Source organism: Homo sapiens, chromosome 9 (assembly GCF_000001405.40).
Source record: "Homo sapiens chromosome 9, GRCh38.p14 Primary Assembly".
Lineage (NCBI taxonomy): Eukaryota > Metazoa > Chordata > Mammalia > Primates > Hominidae > Homo > Homo sapiens.
The window spans coordinates 20,442,316-20,461,956 of record NC_000009.12 but is presented as its reverse complement, the minus strand read 5'-3'; the positions used below and the strand labels follow the sequence as shown (position 1 = coordinate 20,461,956).

General features: G+C 36.6%; 1 protein-coding gene across 2 annotated transcripts in view; it reads left to right on the top strand.

The window, feature by feature from the left end:
- The window catches only part of MLLT3 (MLLT3 super elongation complex subunit), a 280,831-nt gene that overhangs the window by 160,543 nt on the left and 100,647 nt on the right, over positions 1–19,641 (top strand). For both annotated transcript variants that reach the window (NM_004529.4, NM_001286691.2), the window contains exons 3-4: positions 5,171–5,253; positions 13,691–13,834. In NM_004529.4, the coding sequence (NP_004520.2) occupies positions 5,171–5,253; positions 13,691–13,834 (227 nt within the window). The remainder of the gene's footprint in view (positions 1–5,170; positions 5,254–13,690; positions 13,835–19,641) is intronic.

Sequence of the window (19,641 nt, the reverse complement as noted above, 5' to 3'; positions counted from 1 at the left end):
TAAAGCTGGAAGGGACATTTGGCACAAAGCAGTAGTAATAACCAGTCTATATATAGAGAGAGTTTGATGTGTTTCCTTCCTGAAGGGCTCTCTGCACAGTAAATAAAGTAAAGCCAATAATTATCAATGGGCAACTGGGCCATGTTCTTAACAAAAGTATTCAGATGGCCATAAATCATAGCATCAAAACAAATAGGGTAAAGGGATGCTCTGGAGAGGAATCTACCAGCTGTTTTCCTGAGGTTTCGGGAAAAAACTGTTGCCTAATAATACTTCTAAAGTTTAAATGAAGGTCTTATGGAGTTGGCAGCGTTTTTTCTTTTGGTGCTAAAAAAATAGTTCCTATTAATTACATTTATTTATTGAATATATATAAGTAATTTATTATATAAGCACAAATATATTTATTCATTTACAGAGCATTTATTTCTCTGTACCAAGCATAGCTCTTCGTCAAATCTTTTACTTCTAAACGAGAATATTAAAATTTTCAGTAAGGACTTTTAATAAGTAAGGGTTTGACTTATTTCTAACTAATTAAAAGTCCTTGCTTATTGCAAATTTGCCAGATCATTTTCTTTTCCCCCTTTCCATGTGTTTTTCTTCCTTGTGTACATGTTTTCCAACTAAAAATTAAATAGGTTATTGGTCAATGTATGGTTAGCATCATACTACATATTATATATTTGAATCTATATTGTGTCTGTTATTTTGAAAAGACATTTCAGGGAAAAATGCAATTAAACCCAATTACACTTCTTTTTAAACAAACAAAAACTTTGGTCTGTTTCTCTCAGGCATGAATTTTCATTATAGTATCCTAATAGACCTTACATGGTACATGGGATTAATTAGACAAAGAGAGTTTTGAAAACCTCTCCCAATTAGAGTCTTGGAGTACATGGGTAGTAATGTGTGGATGGAGAGGAGAAGGGGAGCGGTTATTTACGGCTGTTGAATATTAGTTTCAAAATGGCCTTAGAGATCTTCTGGCCCAGTTGATTAACTCAATTGCTTAACATGTGGTGCTCTCAGAACTAGGACCAGTTCCACAGTACTCAAGAAAAATTTCCTCTGTGGCAACACTTTTCTATCACCTGTGCCAATTTTTTAAAAGCTTTAAAAGTTTATGTTGATTGTAGCGAGTTTGGAGAAGAATTTGATGGGTTACTGTCAACTCACCACTTCTTTTGGAAAAACAACTTCTTTGGCAGTGGTAAATCAGTGAAGGGTAGCATGAGTCTTTTAAAAGTTAAATTTGACAAACATTTGTTGGGTACATATTATTTGGCTCAATGGTAGTGTCAGGCCTTGCAAAGATGAATAATTATTGTGGTTGCTGACTTTGAAGGGGGTCTGTCTAGTGGAGGAGTCTGAGAGGGAAATGACTTACCTTCTGACCTGTTCATTGCAACAAGATTATGGAAGAGAGCCAAGGGAGATGTTCTGAAAGAGCTAACATCTGGGCTGGATATTTACAGATGAAAAAAGCTTTTAATGATTTTGCCTGAATTAATATGTGAGAATGCATATGCATATAATAGAACATGAGAATTTAAAAAGTAAATGTTAATTATCCCATTTTATTGTCACCTAAAGATTTTAATGGCTTTCTAAAGGTGAATATTCATTCAGTAGCTTCTGAAACTTGGCCTTTTATGACATAGAGCTTAAGGATGATCTGATTCTTGAACAATCAAGAGGAAGAATTAGTTTCAGGGTTTAGAATGCTTAGCTATCATAAACTTGATGCAGTGAGAGAAGAGACTCTCAATGAAGAAGTGTTGCAAGTGACAGAAGGTGATCCCTCCCAAACATGGTTCTACTTGTTTAAAAAAGAATTGCTTTATATCTAATGTAGTATCCCTACTGGCTAAAATGTTTCTAAGTTTTAACCTCTGTTTCTTTTGAACTAAGAAACTCATACTAATTCTGATCATAAAATACCCAAATAAATAAACAACTTCCCCTAATTTGACTTTCTTCAGATTAGAACTGTAAGTTTTTTATTTACATGGCTACTGATTTTCTAGCCTGTTTATTGTGTGTAAAAAGTTCCTGTTGTTTGCTTCTAATTAAGAACTCAGGGGTTTACAGACATTGTTCATTGTTATTGATGAAATTGTTGCATTTAAAAATAATTATATGAATTGGTAAACAGTTTCTTATAAAATCACACTTCTATACAATATTAGTACGTAGCAAGTCATTTCCTTTAAAGGGTGGGGAAAAAAAAATCCAAAGATATTCAACGATAAGATGTGCTCATTAACAGCTGTTTCTGTTAATAGGAGCAATTTGCATTCAGAATAGAGAAAATGAATTATACTAAAGGGTATATAGAGGATCAGGTATAACTTCTCTGGCATGTGCAGCAGCCCACAAAATAAACTACCTTCCAATGACATTGGCATGATTAATCCCAAGCAACCTGACACTGAAATTGCTGTTCTGAAAAGGGGCTTTGCAGCCTGGAAGTGTCATAAGCGTAACACTAGCCTTCTTGCTAAGGTGGGGTGGGGGCTGCTCAATGCGTTTAGTGAGACTCTCTCACTTGTCTCCAGTGTTCACAATATTTGAATATTCATGATCGGTTGACAGGTGGTCAGTGAATGCAAGACTGAAGCCACTCTGGATCTTTTCACGTTTTCGTTTTTCTATTAGAGAAACTTATAAGGTCATGTGAGATGTCTCATTCTTGATTTACTTCTTCGGATGTCAGTTTGGGGCAATTTTCCTAAGGTGGGCTTCAGTTTACCTTTTTGTAACCATATTTCTGCTTGTGGAATGTCTAACCAATTTCCAGGTACATTATCAACATCATTTCTGTAATAAAAATGCCTCGCGCTTCTGTTTCCTTACATATAGTCTCCTTGTATGTCGATGGCTGTGCCTTCAGTTGTGTAGATGGTGTTTCCTCTTCTTTAAAGGGAGAGAAAATGTAGGCTGTCTAGAGAATATTCAATCCAGGGCTGTGGACCTGAGTCTTCTGACCCAAATCTAGGGCTCTTGCTTGCTGCATCCTGTTTATTTTCATCCAAAAGGCTACATGGCAATTGGGTGTTTTATGTTTAGATTTCCTCCCTGGCTTCAGTCACTTACTGAGAACTTATGCGCCAGGCCCTGTGCTGCATCTTTTACACACATCACTGTGCTTACCCATTCAGGATGCTTTAACAAAGTACCATCCACTGGATGGCTTATAAACAACACAAATGGATTTCTCACAGTTCTGGAGACTGAAAGTCCCAGATCAGAGTGCCAGCATGGTGGGATTCTGGTGGGGGCCCTCCTCAGAGTTGCAGACTGCTATCTTCTCACCATGTCCTCACATAGAGGAAGGGGCAAGAGAGCTCTCTAGGGTGCTAATCCCATTCATGAGGTTTCCACCTTCATGACCTAATCACCTTCAAAAGTTCCTACCTCCTGATAGGATTTCAGTTTACGAGGTTTAGGGGAATACAAACATTCAGTTCGTAACGGTCACCTTGTTTAGTCTTCAGATTGTCTAGAAGAGGAACCCAGAGATCTAAGATGAAATAATTTTGCAGAGGTAGCTCGCCTAGTCTGAGGAGGATCATGGATTGGTACCCAAGTATTCTGGGCTGCTGTCGCCTGAGCCCTTGACACTCTATCTTCTTGAGGTGAATGTGCTTCCTGTCCTTGAGAAGTGAAAGGAAATTAGCAGACAAGATCCTTCAAAATATGGTCATAAGGAACTCTGTTCAGTGTCAAGGTACTGATTCAGGCAGTTAACTTTTTGGGAGGATAAAAGGAAAAGAGATGGTAATGCTTTGTGGTCTAGAAAGATCTTGTGAAGAAAGTAGAATTTGAACTTGCAGAGGATACTAAGAGTAGCTTCAAGGTGTGGTGGAAGGGATAGAAGGAGGACCAGGCACTGGTGGGAAATGCTGGGCACATTTGGGGGAAATGCATTGGAATGAAGCAGAGGGGTTTTGGTAGGTGACAAAAGGACAGGTAAACTGGGGCTGCTGAAGAGGACTCAGGGCATCAGTGTGTGTGGCCTTGATATTTGGCATGTACATGTTTACTTTGTGATACCACCAAAATGCAGTCTTAACTAGAATGGTTTCAGTTGGCTTGTGACTGATTTTCGTTTAATTGAAATTTTAGTGGAATGAAATCCTGTTTGGCTTCTTAGGGTCTCTCATTCCCCAAGAGCTTGCCTAATAGTCTTGCTTCCTTTTAACTCCATGAGAAATAAAAGCCTTATTGTTTCTTATGTATTCTTATGATGTGATTAGATCTTAAGTGTTTACATGTATATTGGTATTTTAGTAAACATTCCTTTTGGGTGGGTGAAGGAGGGAGGTTATGCATCATTGAGAAACTCTGGGTTTGGGATTTTCTAAGGAAAGAGGATGGCATAGAAGTCAGGACATCTCTAGGCCAGGCATGGTGGGTCATGCCTGTAATCCCTACACTTTGGGAGGCTGAGGCGGACAGATCACCTGAGGTCGGGAGTTCAAGACCAGCATGACCAACATGGAGAAACCCCATCTCTACTAAAAATACAAAATTAGCCTGGTGTGGTGACGCATGCCTGTAATCCCAGCTAACTCGGGAGGCTGAGGCAGGAGAATTGCTTGAACCAGGGAGGCGGAGGTTGTGGTGAGCCAAGATCACACCATTGCACTCCAGCCTGGGCAACAAGAGTGAAACTCCGTCTCAAAAAAAAAAAAAAAAAAAAAAAAAAAGATGTCCTTGTCAGGACATCTCAGACAAGTCAGAAGTTAAGGTGGGGAGTGATTTGCATCAAAGACTAGATGCAGATAATACTCTTGTTAGGAAGCTTACAGTTCTTTTCAAACTTTGGGTCATAGGGAGCAATCATCAGTTTCCCTAAAGCTTTTGGGCAGGGTAATAACAAGTGAAGTTCACTCATTAATAATCATGGTTGACTGTGATGAGCTATTCTCCACCAAGATTTGAATAAATGACTTACATATCTGCTTTACATAAGAGCAATTATTGTTATAGTTTCTGGAGAAGAAATAAAGGATAGATCGGAGACTCAACTGGGAGTTTGGCAAGGGGCTATGAAAATTGCGTGTGATCTAGATGGTAGAATGGGATTTTTTTTTTTAAAAGAAGAATGTCTTTTTGTCTATTATTCTCATCTTACCTATTTTCTTTTTTAATGTTGCAGTGTGCAAAGATCCACCTTACAAAGTAGAAGAATCTGGGTATGCTGGTTTCATTTTGCCAATTGAAGTTTATTTTAAAAACAAGGTATGTAATCTTTACCCATTAATCTTTCAGTAGACGATCCACCATTAGCCAAATGATGTTTAAAATAATTTTGACTCATAAGCACTTCTGTCACTAGATGATTTTAAAATAAAAGTTAAATTTGTCTTCTAGGAATTTTGGCTATCATTACCCTTAATTATCAAGGAAGTGGCTAGAAGAAGATAATTTTAATTATATGAAGTCAGATTATGTGAAATTCATTAAGTGTTCCTTTAAAGAGAGGAGTGATTACCATTTTGGAAAAGATAAATATGTTTGTAAAATAGAAAAGAAGAATTATAGTTTTTCAGTAAAATGCTTCTTTTCTCATTTTCATGTCTGTAGAATTTTTTTGAGGCTTGCAAAGAATACTCTCATTTTATCTTTAGCTGGTACCCACACCATACATGTATATAGTTATTTCAACTTCAGATATATGGATTTTACTGGATTTAAAAGTTTTCAGGCCTGGCGCGGTGGCTCACACCTGTAATCCCAGCACTTTGGGAGGCCGAGGCGGGCGGATCACTTGAGGTCAGGAGTTCGAGACCAGCCTGGCCAACATGGTGAAACCTCGTCTCTACTAAAAATACAAAAATTAGCCGAGTATGGTGGTGGATGCCTGTAATTACAGCTACATAGGAGGCTGAGGCAAGAGAATCACTTGAACCTGGGAGACGGAGATGGCAGTGAGCCGAGATCGCACTACTGCATTCCAGCCTGGGTGACAGAGTGAGGCTCCATTATTTTTCTCAAAAAAAAAAAAAAAAAAAAAAGTTTTTAGCAGTACATATGTGGCATAACACACAGACTGTATAATACCAGACAAATTGGTCAACCTCTGTGGGGCTTACTTTCCTTATTTATGAAATGAGGAGATAAGAGTACTTACCTCATAAGGTGGTTAGTAGGATTAGATAAAATAAACTTATGCAAAGTACTTAGAATAGTAACTTATAGATAAGCACTTCAAAATGCTAATTATTATATCATATTCCTTATTTTTCCTCCAGAGATATCATAATTTCTAAAACCTGCTGAAAAGTCAGGTAATTGGCTTTTTTTTTCTTTTAAGGAACTACGCAAATAGAATGTCATGTTATCCAAACCAGTGCTCAGTAAAATATGGTTCTTTGGATAGCATTAGCATTACCCTAAGGGCAGGTTAGAAATGAGATTCTCAAATTCTACCCAGATGTATCAAATCAGAATCTCTGGAGGCAGGGCCTAGGAATCTGCATATTTGCTAGTCCTTCTGATGCTCAGTAAGTAAGAGAACCACTGATAAGCCACTCCTTAATGTGCAATCCCTTCCACTGGAACAGTGTCACACTGGCCTTTTTAACTTATAGCAGTCTCAGTCCTCAATTCAGCAGTTAGAAAGTGTTAAAACCAGATTCGTGATCTAGGTCTTTCTCTCCATTGGCTATGCTCCTAATTTCTGTGCCTTCTAGCAACAACTCTTTGCTAGAATAATGATTATCTTTCTTAGTGGTGATACCACTGAATCGTTGACATATTTGTCATCAAATCAAATTTGTCGAGATGTATTTATGTCTGTTGACGTGATATACTTTCATATTGAAGTGCTCATTTTTCTCATTTCAAGTTCAATTTCCCTTAAGAAAATGGTTTTTGGCTTTCTTTTATTTCTTCTGTTTTTCCTTCACTACCAATTTCTCCAATACTTGTTACTTGTTATTTTCTATTATAGTCATCCTAGTAGATGTGAAGTATACCTCATTTTGGTTTTATGTGCATTTCTTTGATGATTTATGAGTTTGAACATCTTTTCATGTGCTCGTTGTTCATTTGTATTTTTTTTGGAGAAGTGACTGTTCATATCTCATTTTGCTCACTTTTCAGTGTATTTTTAATTTAAGTGGTATGTTTGTGGGAAGGAATTTAGAGCCTGTCTCTATCTCCCATATTCCCCACTACCCTTTTAATATCTTAGAAGTTTAAGTGATGAAGATCATATGGTGCTTTTCTTCCCTCTTGTCACATCCTCATAGCCAGTGTTTTAATTTCATCTAGGGATCGGGCTACACCATAGGAATAATCTAGCCCTTCAAGCCAGCAAAGTTCTTAACTCAAAGAAATTAAAGAATAGGCAATTATGATCTCTTATGAGAAGACCATAATGGTTATGATTATATCACTGTCTTCCCACCAGCAAAGTTAGTTTGACATTGCATTGACTTCAGTTTTGAAATAATGATGCAATGAAGTATCTTCTCTCTTTTCTTGTTTTTAACTCTTCTGGTCATTTGTACAAGCTCGGAGTTGAACAGAGGAATCTGTTTTATGAATTGCTCAGTTTCCTGCTTTACAAAAATAACTGGAATTTCCCCATATGCCAGATTTAAGAAGAAAACAAGTAAAGGATGAAGAGGCAGCAAGTATCACTCCCTACCATACGCGCACGCACACACACGCATGCGTGTGCACACACACACACACACACACACTTCAGTCTTCTTGAAATTCATGGAACAGAGTAAAAGCAAGATATAATGAAGGCACATTGGGTAGTCATTATGACTGTAAAACATATATTCATTTTGTGAGGGATTTTATTTTCTTAAAATATAAAGGAAGAAAGCAGCATATGAGATGAAAAACATCTCTTCCTTTGTGGCCATTATAAAATAGACACATTTGGAACATCGTAGATTTTCTGTTTAGTATATAGATTAGCTTATTTCTATTTTCTAGTTTTAGGCTTTCTTTAAAATTTCATACATAATAATGATTGCTGTTTTCACATGTACACAATAATACATATATATTTCAGTGTTTGTAATATAGAAAAGTAGGATACACCTAATTGGCCCTATGTAGAGATGTGGATTAATAAATGGTAATTATGTAATCCATAGAATTCTGTACAGTACTTAATGTGGCAACATGAGTAAATCTCAAAAAATGATGACTTAAAAGTTGCAGAAATATATGTGCATGGTTATATCATTTGTGTATTTTTTAAAGAAATTATTGAAATGAGTAATGGTGTTCTGGAGAGGTATGTATTTAGTATAAGAGCATATGTTGGAATGACAACACAGGAACTTAAGGGCATTAGTTACTGGAGGAGAGGAATGAAGAAGCTTACATATATAAAGTTGGTTTTGTTTTGTTTTGGTGGGGTTTCACTCTGTCACCCAGGCTGGAGTACAGTGGCGCAGTCTCAGCTCACTGCAGCCTCCACTTCCTGAGATCAAGTGATCCTTCCACCTCAGCTTCCCAAGTAGCTGGGACCACAGGCATGCACCACCACGGACCCGGCTAATTTTTGTAATTTTTGTAGAGACAGGGTTTCACCATGTTGCCCAGGATGATTTCGAGCTCCTGGGCTCAAGTGATCTGCCCACCTCTGCCTCCCAAAGTGCTAGGATTACAGGTGTGAGCCACCCCAACTGGCCAAATTTTATTTCTTTAAAAGATAAAGCATATCTCTGGAAGTGTTATCTGTTTAATCTCAGTAGAAGGCACATGGATATAGCATTTTTAAGTACTTTTCTATATGTTACTAATTTCTTAATTAAAAAAGGAATTATTGCTTTGCCACTTTTTTGTTTTCTTAGGATGTCTTAGAAACCAAATATTTGCTATAGTCTGATCTAGGTCTCTGAGCTAGGTATATTTGTTTCTTTATTTTTTCTAATTTAACTTGTAAGAGCACCTAATGTGAGATATAGTTTCTTAACAAATTTTAAGTGTATTAAGTGTACAATACCTTATTGTTGACTATAGTTGCAATGCACAGCAGATCTCTAGAGCTTATTCATCTTACTTAATTGAAACTTAATGCCTATTGATTGACAATTCATTTTCCTCTCTCCCCAGCCCATGGTAACCACCGTTCCAGTCTCTGATTTTATGAATTTAAAATCTTACATGATATCTGTTTTAGATATCTCATGTAAGTGGACTTAGACAGTACTCATCTTTCTGAGTCTGGCTTATTCCCCAAGGTCCAGCTGGATATATTTTTTATTTTTCATGTTACTGAAATGATCCATTGGTAAAAATTTAATAGGTCTAGGCTCTTGCTTCAGAGTGTTCATTTCTTTCTTTTGCGTATTTATTATTTTATTTATCCCTGGAGTTTATACAACTCTGTCTTGAAGAATAAACATCCATTATAGTAATGGCATATTAGTCCCTTCTCACATTGTTATTAATACCCGAGACTGGGTAATTTATAAAGGAAATAGGTTTAATTGACTCACAGTTCTGCATGGCTGGGAAGGCCTCAAGAAACTTACAGTCATAGCAGAAGGGGAAGCAAACACGTCTTTCTTCACAAGGTGGCAGGAGAGAAAAATGCAGGCAAAGTGGGGAAAAGCCCCTTATAAAACCATCAGATCTTGTGAGAACTCACTTACTATCATGAGAACAGCATGAGGGAACACCCCCATAATCTAATTACCTCCCAAGACACGTGGGGATTATGGGAACCACAATTCAAGATGAGATTTGGGTGGAGGCACAGCCAAACCATATCAAATGGTTTATGAAAAAGTGTTGTTCAGAGTTTTCACAGGAATGAGGGAAAGCAGAAAAAATAATTCCAGGTAATGATGGAAGAGTCTTAATTCCACGTATTAAAGATATCCTGTCCTTGGTCACATCCCCATCCTGTGTTTTTCCTGCTTCTCTAATGAGCTCGTCTTCAGTTCTGCTCATTTATTTGAGCTGTCAGGGTCAAGAGGGGTGGTAGAGTGTCAGTACTTCTCTTGAGTTTGTATATGTTAATGCTGTCTTATTTTGTATTTGTGCTCAACAAAACAACCCTATTTGTGAGAATTGTGTGTTTCAGAAACTCTAAACCAACAGGGACACTGAAACATAATCAATTTATGTTTGAAAGGATCGCAGGCTTCTTTCTTTCAGTCTGATCTCAGAAAAGAGAGAGTAAATGTCAAGTACTGAAGCTTCTGCAGAGTGAGAGAGGGTAACTTGATATTGCCAAAAACAAATTTCCACCTCTAGGAAATGTATTATTTATATATAGAGAGCAAGCACATGCTTTCTCATTTGAACTTTGAAGAAGAATGTTTTCTAAGGAGCACAGACTGACATAATGTCGATGTCTGCCTTCTAAGAGAAGATATTCAGTTGGCCAGAGCACAAGTTGATGAGTACTTTTTTCTTACTTAAAAAAAATCTTTAAAAAAATCATACTCAGGATTCAGAGAGTCATTTTCTGTGGTGCTTACCATTGGTTTTATTGAAAAGTGATGTTTTTTGTTCTGTTTTAGACTGTTGTAGACTATAAAGTGATGTTGATATTACCTCATTCTTTTTATGCTGGTAATTAATGTGTATTCTTCAATATGTTTTTCTCTTTAAGAAAGTGTATAGGAGTATATATTTTCCTAGTAAAAGTATATGGAATAGAACTTAGGAGTTTTAGTCTTTTGACTACATTTAATGATTGTTGACTATTTGGTACAGTCTTCCCAGATTTCCCTCCATGTATTTGCATAGATAAAATGTGTGTCAGCGTAGAGATTGGCAGGGGCATGATTTAATATTTTTCTGTGACTTGCCTTTAATTCAGTTAGCAATATGCCTTTCAAAGTCAGTATTTTTAAACACCTGAATGGTGTTATGTGGTAATGATGATCATTCTTAGTTTCTTGCTATTCTAAGCAATGCTACCATGAACATTTAATAGTATATTTTTGTACTTATATCTGAATATTTCTATGGAAGAGATTCTTAGAGGTAGAATTACTGGGTCAAACATTATATATATTTGGTATGTTGATAGATATTGCCAAGATGTCTACCAAAAAGGCTTTACCAGTTTATGCTCCCAGTTACATGGCAGAAAACTGCCCTCCTTTTAAAATTAATTCTAAAGTTACATCTTCTGTTTTATAACTTAGAGGATAGACAGATAAATAAAAAATCATAACTAAATGTGATAATTACATTAATAGAGGAATGCCATGAGGGACATCTAATTCAGATTATATTGGGAGAGTAAGAAAGACTTTCAGAGGAATTAATGCTTTAGCTGGGTCTTGAATAATGAGTTTGCATTAACTAGGCAATAGAGGGGAAGCTATGCTGGGAGGGAGGACATTTCAGGTGTGGGGAGCACTACTTGTGAAAGGCCAAATGAATGAGTTAATGTGAAGTATTGGGGAACTGCAGATGCTTCAAAGTTGTGGAAAAACAGTATAGTAAGAAATCAAAAGAAATATAGGAAAGGTAGTAAGAGACTGCAATGGTTATTCCAAGGAAGTGGGATTTTACTGCAGAAAATGATGAACCATTAAAGGCTTTTATATCAGTGGAAAGCTGTAATCTGATTTTTGTGTTAGAAAGATCACTCTCTGGTCACTGTGGGAAGTAGAATGAGGTAAGTTCAAAATCAGGGAGGACATCAAATGAAGAATGGTGGTGGTCTAAGCTAGGACAGTAGGCCTTAGAGGAAAGGATAGGTAGATCTGAAAGTTCATAAGGACGAATACTAAATAGAACTTAGAGAAAATTTGACTGTAGTGAGTGAGGAAGAAGTAACAGTTGGGAATGATTTTTGTGTAATTTAACCTTGGCAAGCAGTTAGAATTGCTGTATTCCAAGATAACAGAGGATAGGACAAAAGACACATATGAAGGTAACTTTAGTTTAACATAATGCATGAATTGGATGCTGCCGTAAGTCAACCTGTGGACACATGTATATGGCAGTCAGTGAGAGCTGGGTTGGAGATACACTTGGGGGAGTCACTGTCACACAGGTGGAACTGACTCCTTGTGAATGGGTGTCATCTCCTTGGGAAACTTTGCAGAAAGGTAAAGGACATTTAAGGTCAGTGAAGAAAGAGAAGAAAGTCCTTGAAGAAGATTGAGAAGGAATAGCCAGTAAACTATGAGGAAAACCAGGAGAGAATGGCATCCTGATAAGAGAGAGGAAAAGTAGATTTCATGTCAGATTGTAGTGGAAGTGAAGGGGTACTGAGGAAATGAGTGGAGATTATGATTTGGGAAGTTTGGTGAGGAGGTGGAAACCATGAATTTTGAGTAGTTAATTCCTATATTCGGAGAGTTTCAGGTGCAAAGACCCTTGAGTCAAAAGAAATGGATTCAAATTATTTTGTTTCATCATTTATTAGTAATATAACAATAAAACAAGGCTCACACCTGCCCCAAAGAGAGCAGCGAGAATTAAATGAGATGTCATTATTATCTTGAGTCTGTATTTTCACCTTGCGTGGCTAAAGATCAATGTGTAGAGAGGGATAAATGTTCAGTCAACTTAAGTAACAGCTTGAGAGTTGAACCTGGGTATCGGAAATTCTAATTATTGTATTCTTTTGCATAGGATGCTATTTTGTCCTAGTTATTTATTCAGAAAAATTCCATTCTTATTAATCTCACAGATACTCACTGCATTTCTACTGTGTATAGGCATAAACTAGTCTTTGAGGGCACAATGATGATTCAAACATTGATCCTACTTTCAACAGTCTTCTGATCCAGCAGGGTAAATGGTGATAATAAGAAGGCAATTATTCTAAGACGTGGCAAGGGTGAGAGAAAGATGCATACATAGTAGAGGAGAGGCAGTGGGGAGTCGGGAGTTAAGGGGAGGTTTTCCAAAAGTGAAATCTTGAGTTAGGAATGGTGAGAAGTTATCTAGGTAAAGCAGTAGGTAGAGAAATGGAGGTAGGCAGTGAAGGTAGTAATGCAAAGCAAGAATGAAACCAGAGGTAACCTAGAACACAGTAGGTACTGGGAAGCAACCAGTAATGGGATGTTGCTAGGCCATCAGATGGACAGAAGGGGAATGGTGGAATATGAAGCCAAGAGCCAGATTATGAAGGCCCTTATGTGACATTCAAGTGAGATTAGGATTTTTAGCCCAATGGCTATTGGAAGCTGTTGAAATTTTAACTAGGAAGTGAAAATGGCTAGATTTTTATTTCATATAGATAATCTTAAGGCCTGAATGGAGGAGGAATTGAAGAGAATATATCCCAAAGTAGAGAGTTTATAGTTTGGGCCATGAGTAAAAGCCTAGTAGTAAGAGTTAGAGGGCTTGTTGAAGAAATATTTATGGAGAAAATGGCAGCCTTTGATGGTGAGTGTACTGGGGTGGGGAAGAGGAAGGAATGTGCTTGGTTTCTAGTTGGGTGGCTATGTTGCTGGTATCCTGTCACCTGAAAGATCATGGGGAAGAAGAGAAGTTTTTCTTATTTCATTTCCCCTAACACAAGAAACTAATTTGTCAGACATTTCTATTTTGTTTCACTGATGATTCCATGATACTTTTTTTTTTCCCAGTACTACTTTGACAGTTTAGCTGTTAGATGTCTTAGTTCTTTTCTATTTCTTATGAGGAGTAAATTTTTGCTTTTAAAATTTCACTTATGCCTCACTCTCTTTTTTCTTTCATAATTTTTGTTAACCTCCAGGAAGAACCTAGGAAAGTCCGCTTTGATTATGACTTATTCCTGCATCTTGAAGGCCATCCACCAGTGAATCACCTCCGCTGTGAAAAGCTAACTTTCAACAACCCCACAGAGGACTTTAGGAGAAAGTTGCTGAAGGCAGGAGGGGTAAGTGGCACTCTCTTGTGAAAAGCATTCCTATTAAAAAACAACAACAACAAAAAAAAAAACAAACAAACTAGTTCCTCATGTGTTAAAAAGTATAAGGTTTTGGGAGAGGTAAAAGAAATGATGTACCTTAATGGCTTAGCTGTGGATTCATGTGTTGAGATGAACAGGTAGACAATAATATTTTAGATAGGCTTAAGTTTGAAATTACACTATTTATTAAAACAGCCTTAAGATCTATGCAGCTCAAATTTAATTATGACAAAACCCCAAAACAAACAAGCAATAAACTCTCATTTAAGAAAAGAATAATATTTGAACTGTGTTATATCAGTTATAGAAACTTTTGGGTTAAGTTGCAAGTCACATTAAAAATTATATAAAAAGAAATCCAAATTTTCTTGATCACAATTATTAAAAAAGGTATCTTCACTCATACTACATGTTTGGGTCATTTAAATAGACATTTTTGTTTGTTTGAATTTTATGTTGATAAAAGATGGATTTTCCTTTTTAAAGTAATGGTAGCAAAAGTGTTGTAAACTTTTGCCCTTGTGATTTGACTAGTATGGGAAAGAATTTTAAGTGGTACCTCTTGGAAACATAAACATTTGGTGTGTTTGCTTCTGAAGCTGGGTCAGCTGTACAAACACTATTGATTGGTCAAAATCTATTTGACAATGAGTGTCACTGGGATCATCAGCTCCTACTGCACATGAACTTATGTGTCATATTATGTGGGCACTTCACACCCCATCTATTTTGAGATGTGTTCTTTTCTCCAGGATCATCTTCACTTAGTTTCTCTGGAAGGTTTTTGTGCAGTTTTCTATTTATGAAGTTATTTTCTATATGCATTTGTAGACCATAACCCATCAAGATGCCTTATATCACTGATAAACTCTACCTGAGGGCTTTGTAGGAAGCAGGTGGTTTTTTTGTGGCACAGTTTTCTTTATTGGATACATGAACAACCACTTTGAGAACCTAAGAAAAGCTATTGTTCCTATTATGAGAAAGTTGCCCATGTATATAATTGTGTGACTATTCTGGGTGATGTGGACCCCATTTTTTGAGTTCTGTTTTGCTAGGCTGCTGTCCTTTTACTTGAATTATGAATATGCATTTGAAGCATTGCAAGTACTTTTACCATATTTCATTCCTTATCATATATATGTCAATAGATTATGGTTTAAGTGGGTATTGAGCCAGCTTTGGAAATGAAATGCCACTTAGAGTATTCTATGGGAGAAATACAGCTTCATGAAGAAATGTATTTATTTTTGTAACACAACTTATTTTAAAATTAGGAACTTATTATAATTTTATTAAAGAAGTTGTTTGGAAAAGTAACTCTGTTTTACTCCTTTTATAGTTATCAGGAGTATAGTTTTGATGCCATTTACCTATGGCTATGCCATTAACAATCAACTAACTGGTCCATTTAAAATCCTAATCAATCTCATTTTTTTAATGAATTCGGCATTTTACATTTCTGATTATCTCTCTTGGGTTGTGTAGTTGGGTGGGTAAATTGGAGAGTGCAAATTATGTAACTTTAGTACGTCATGCTTCTGATAAGGGTCGTAGGAAAACGTAAATATGACACAAGAACTTTTTAAAGCAACCACTTAGTCCCAGAGAAGTCGAGGGTTGCCTGTGAGCTGGAAGAGAGGTTACAGTCAGTGATAATGCAGCAAAGTGCAGCACTGCATCCTGATAAGGTCTCTAGTTGATTTCTCATCTTGTGCTCTACTCAGCCTTTATCTCAGAATGATTCTTCTTGACTTCTAACTTTCCTTCTTTGTGTTTAAGTGCTGTTTGAAGCCAGCAGATATTTTCCTATTAGAATTAGATTGTGTCTTGACAACTCTAAAATAATAAGTTGAAATGTGAACTATTCCAGGCATATGCTGTTTGAAATATTACAAGTTACTTAAGGGACTAATCACAGTGAATTTTGTAGTAAAATAAGCATTTAAAAATTCATTAAAAATCATAATAATTCCACAGATTCTGTCTATTTCATATGGGAAGATTAAAATAAACTTCTATAGAAATGTAAAAAAAATCAGTAGACTAATAAACATCTTTTGGCTTACCTAGATTTTTGACTGCCTTATATTATTGATACCTGGCTTTAACCATTTGTCTTATCTTAGTATTAATGCAGCCTATCATGGTGTTACTAACTTATGAGCCATTCTGATTTAATGAGAAATGAGTTCACGATTATGTCTTCAGATAAACTTCTTCTTCTTCTTATTTTTTGGCCTGGGTTTTGTGGTGGGAGAGAGGATACTTTCCTCCTCATACTTAAAAATTATGTGTTGACATAGATGTATATATTCTACCTTAAAAGGAAAAAATAATTGAACCTCTCTTCTCATCTTAATATATAAGTTAAGGCATGGGTGGAGTAAACTTAGTGTTTGGCTATGGTTCCTTCTCTTTTATTATTTTCTTTTAAACTAAAAGTACATAGAGCTACTAAAAGTTGAGTGTTGCTTTTCAAGAGATCAGAAAGGTTGTTTTTAGAGCTGGGAGCATCTTGGAAAAAATGTTTTTCAGCTCTTAGAAGAAAATAATTCCAAAGAACTTTTTGCCAGAGAATCTTGAAAAACTGCAGATTTTTTCTACTTCATAATCTATAAGCCTATAACAACTTTTTTGGGAGAGGGGTCAATAACATTCTGTTTTTTTCACTGGATTTTGTTTTTAATTTCAATGTCATACTATTTCCTAAATAGTCTCAAAACTTGGTGTATGTCCCTCTTGGAAGAAATATACCCTGTGTTTTTCTGTGACATGGCTCCCTAATATTAAGTATATTCTTGTTATAAAAGAAGAAGTATTGTGGGCAGGGCACATTTAGATTCAAACATTATTTTCTGAGAGTATTGAATACAGAGTGATTTACTTTATAGGACCGTGAAAGTAGTTTCCTCTAAATTAGACAGCTCATGGGAGCTTGCTGGGGAAATTGTGGATTTGATTTAAGATCTAGCCCGACGAACTTTTTTTTTTTAATTGAGATGGAGTCTCACTCTGTTGCCCAGGCTGGAGTGCAGTGGCTTGATTTTTGTACACTGCAGCCTTGACTTGCCAGGCTGAAATGAACGTCCCACTTGAGCTTCCCAAATAGCTGTGACTACAGATGCACGCCACCACATTTACTAATTAAAAAAAAAAATGTAGAGACAGGGTCTTACTGTGTTGCCTAGGCTGGTAGATTTTTATTTTTATTTTTTGAGATAGGGTCTTACTCTGTCACCCAGGCTGGAGTGCAGTGGTGCAGTCATGGCTCACTGCAGCCTCAACCTCCTGGGCTCAAGTGATCCTCCCACCTCAGCCTCCTGAGTAGCTGGGACTACAGGCACAGACTACCACACCTGACTAATTTTTGTATTTTTTGTAGAGACAGGTTTTCCCATGTTGCCAAGGCTGATCTTGAACTCCTGAGCTGAAATGATCAGCCCCCCTCGGCCTCCTAAAGTGCTCTAACTACAGGTGTGAGTCACTGCGTCCAGCCCCTTGTAAGGCTTTAAGTAAGAGAAAGAGGGTAGGGGTTATGAAATGAGAAAGAACAACTTGAGAACTTACTTTAAAAATTATTATTCATATTTATTATATAAATTTTTGTATGTTATTATATTAAGGGAGGATATTTCCTTTGAGATCTTTATTCTTTGATTGGTAGAGGGAAGAGAGCAGTGAGCAGTAAACTTTTGAGGGCAAGAACAAACATAATATGTCTTTTAATTTTAAGCAAAAGGACCAAGTGTACTCTGTGGAGAAGCACCTCCCTATTTGCTGAGATATTTCTATTTATTTCCCATTTTTAAAGAATGAACTGATTGATCACTTTTGGATCAGTGATTCTCAAATTGTGCTCATTAGGATGTTAAGATTAAAAGGCTTATGATCACGACAGATAATTTTCTCTCTATTCCCTTATCACTTTTTAGTAGTTGGAATTCAGTCATACTGAAAACATTGCAGAAGAGTTTGTCATCTATTACTATAAGATAGATGAAAGAAGATGAGCTTTTCTTTGGGGTGTTGGCAAAGTAAACATATACTGTATATTAGATATTGTATATTGGGGAACTAAAATTTATTATTCTACTAACTTGTTTTTCTGAATTTCTGGTTGGAAAGAAGTGTGATACAATTGGAAAAGTTTTAAATTCAAGCTGGTTTAGATAAAACCTTTATCATCTTCAAGCTGGGTAACCCTGGGAAAAACCATTGCATCTTTTTGCATCTCAGTTTATTAGCTGTGAAACGGATATGGCAGTGTTTTCCTCATAGGGAACGTGTAACCATGGTGTATGGCACATAGTAGATACCCAGTACCTTAGTTCTTTTCCCCTCAGTTACTAGTTTAGAATATCAGCAGATGCTTAACCATCTTTATATCAGACACTTAAAGGTATGGTGAAAAAGATTTGCTATTCAGTGTAAGCTACTCAATATTTATTCACAGGAAAACATGTTTACCACCAAGTTAGTGTAACCAGCGCATTGATAGATCTGTGTTGTGTTTAAAGATTAGCCCGTGGTTTCTTCCTTCAAGGTGTTGGCACTCTGTTTGTATTTTGCTTGTATGAAGTGCTTGTTTGTATTTTGCTTGTGTAAAGGGCTCGGAATATTATTTTGTAAGATGTAACTTTTCATTAGAAAAATGGATTCTTAACATTGTTCTTAATTCTGAATTTTTAGCGGATTAAAGGCTTCTCAAGGCTGTGTGTTTCCTTAGAAGAGTTCACATATATGACCAGCAAGGTAGTTGGATCCTTGTGCTTCTACGAAGAAAGCACAAAATAGGCAAGCATCTTTGGAAAATCAAGTTTATTTTGCAGTTTCTTTTTTCTTTTTTTGGCCTGGAAACCAAATGGCCTGCTTTGGTTCTGTTGTTTTTTATGGGATGGTGGTAGGGTGTTGGGTGTTTGTTTGTTCCTGCTGCCTTTCTTTCTTCCTTCCCTCCCTCTTTCCTTCTCTCCCTCCCTCCTTCCTTCCTTCCTTTCCTCAATTAAACAGGGCAAAGTCTAAACATGTTGTTCAGTCCTATTTCTGAATCACTGGCAAGCAGTTAATTTTGAGGACTGAAAATTAAAACTAACCACAGCAGTTGTTAAAACTAGGGTTTCTATAGGCAGAAATCCAATTCTGTTCAGACACCACCTGTTTCAGTAGGACATTTCAGACGCCCATTTGGCAAGATTTGCTGGAGAAGACATGGGGAACATGCTTCCAGTCTGTATTAAATCTGCAGCATAATGCAGTCCTGTTTCTGAGAGTGACAGTTACATTTATATATGATCTGTTTTCACAAGGAATAAATTGGAATCTTTCTGAAATGCTGCTTATTGTCAAGTGAAATTCAGGTCCACAGTGGACCTCCAGCGAGGGGTTTTGCTTATTAAAGGGCCAAAAGGATCTTAGGATAAGGAGCTTTCAGTAATGCAGCTGTGTCAAGCCATCTGAACACAGCATTTTATTACAAGGATTTGGAATGAATCTTGTGTAGGGTGGTTTAGTGTTTCCTTTGTAGGGGAGTTGAGAACACTTCTAATTTCTCAACTGTATGGATCACAATCTCTTCTCTTCAAATTTTAATTTTTTTGAATAGGTAAATATACACACAGTGCATCATGACATACAGTTAGGTTTTCCTCTAGGACACCAGTAATACTGTAGTAAATAAACTCATACATAGTTCTTTGTGCACATGGATATGTCCGTAGGATAAATTCCTTAGAGTAGAATTGTGGGTCCAAGGCAAAGTGAAATTTAAATTTTGG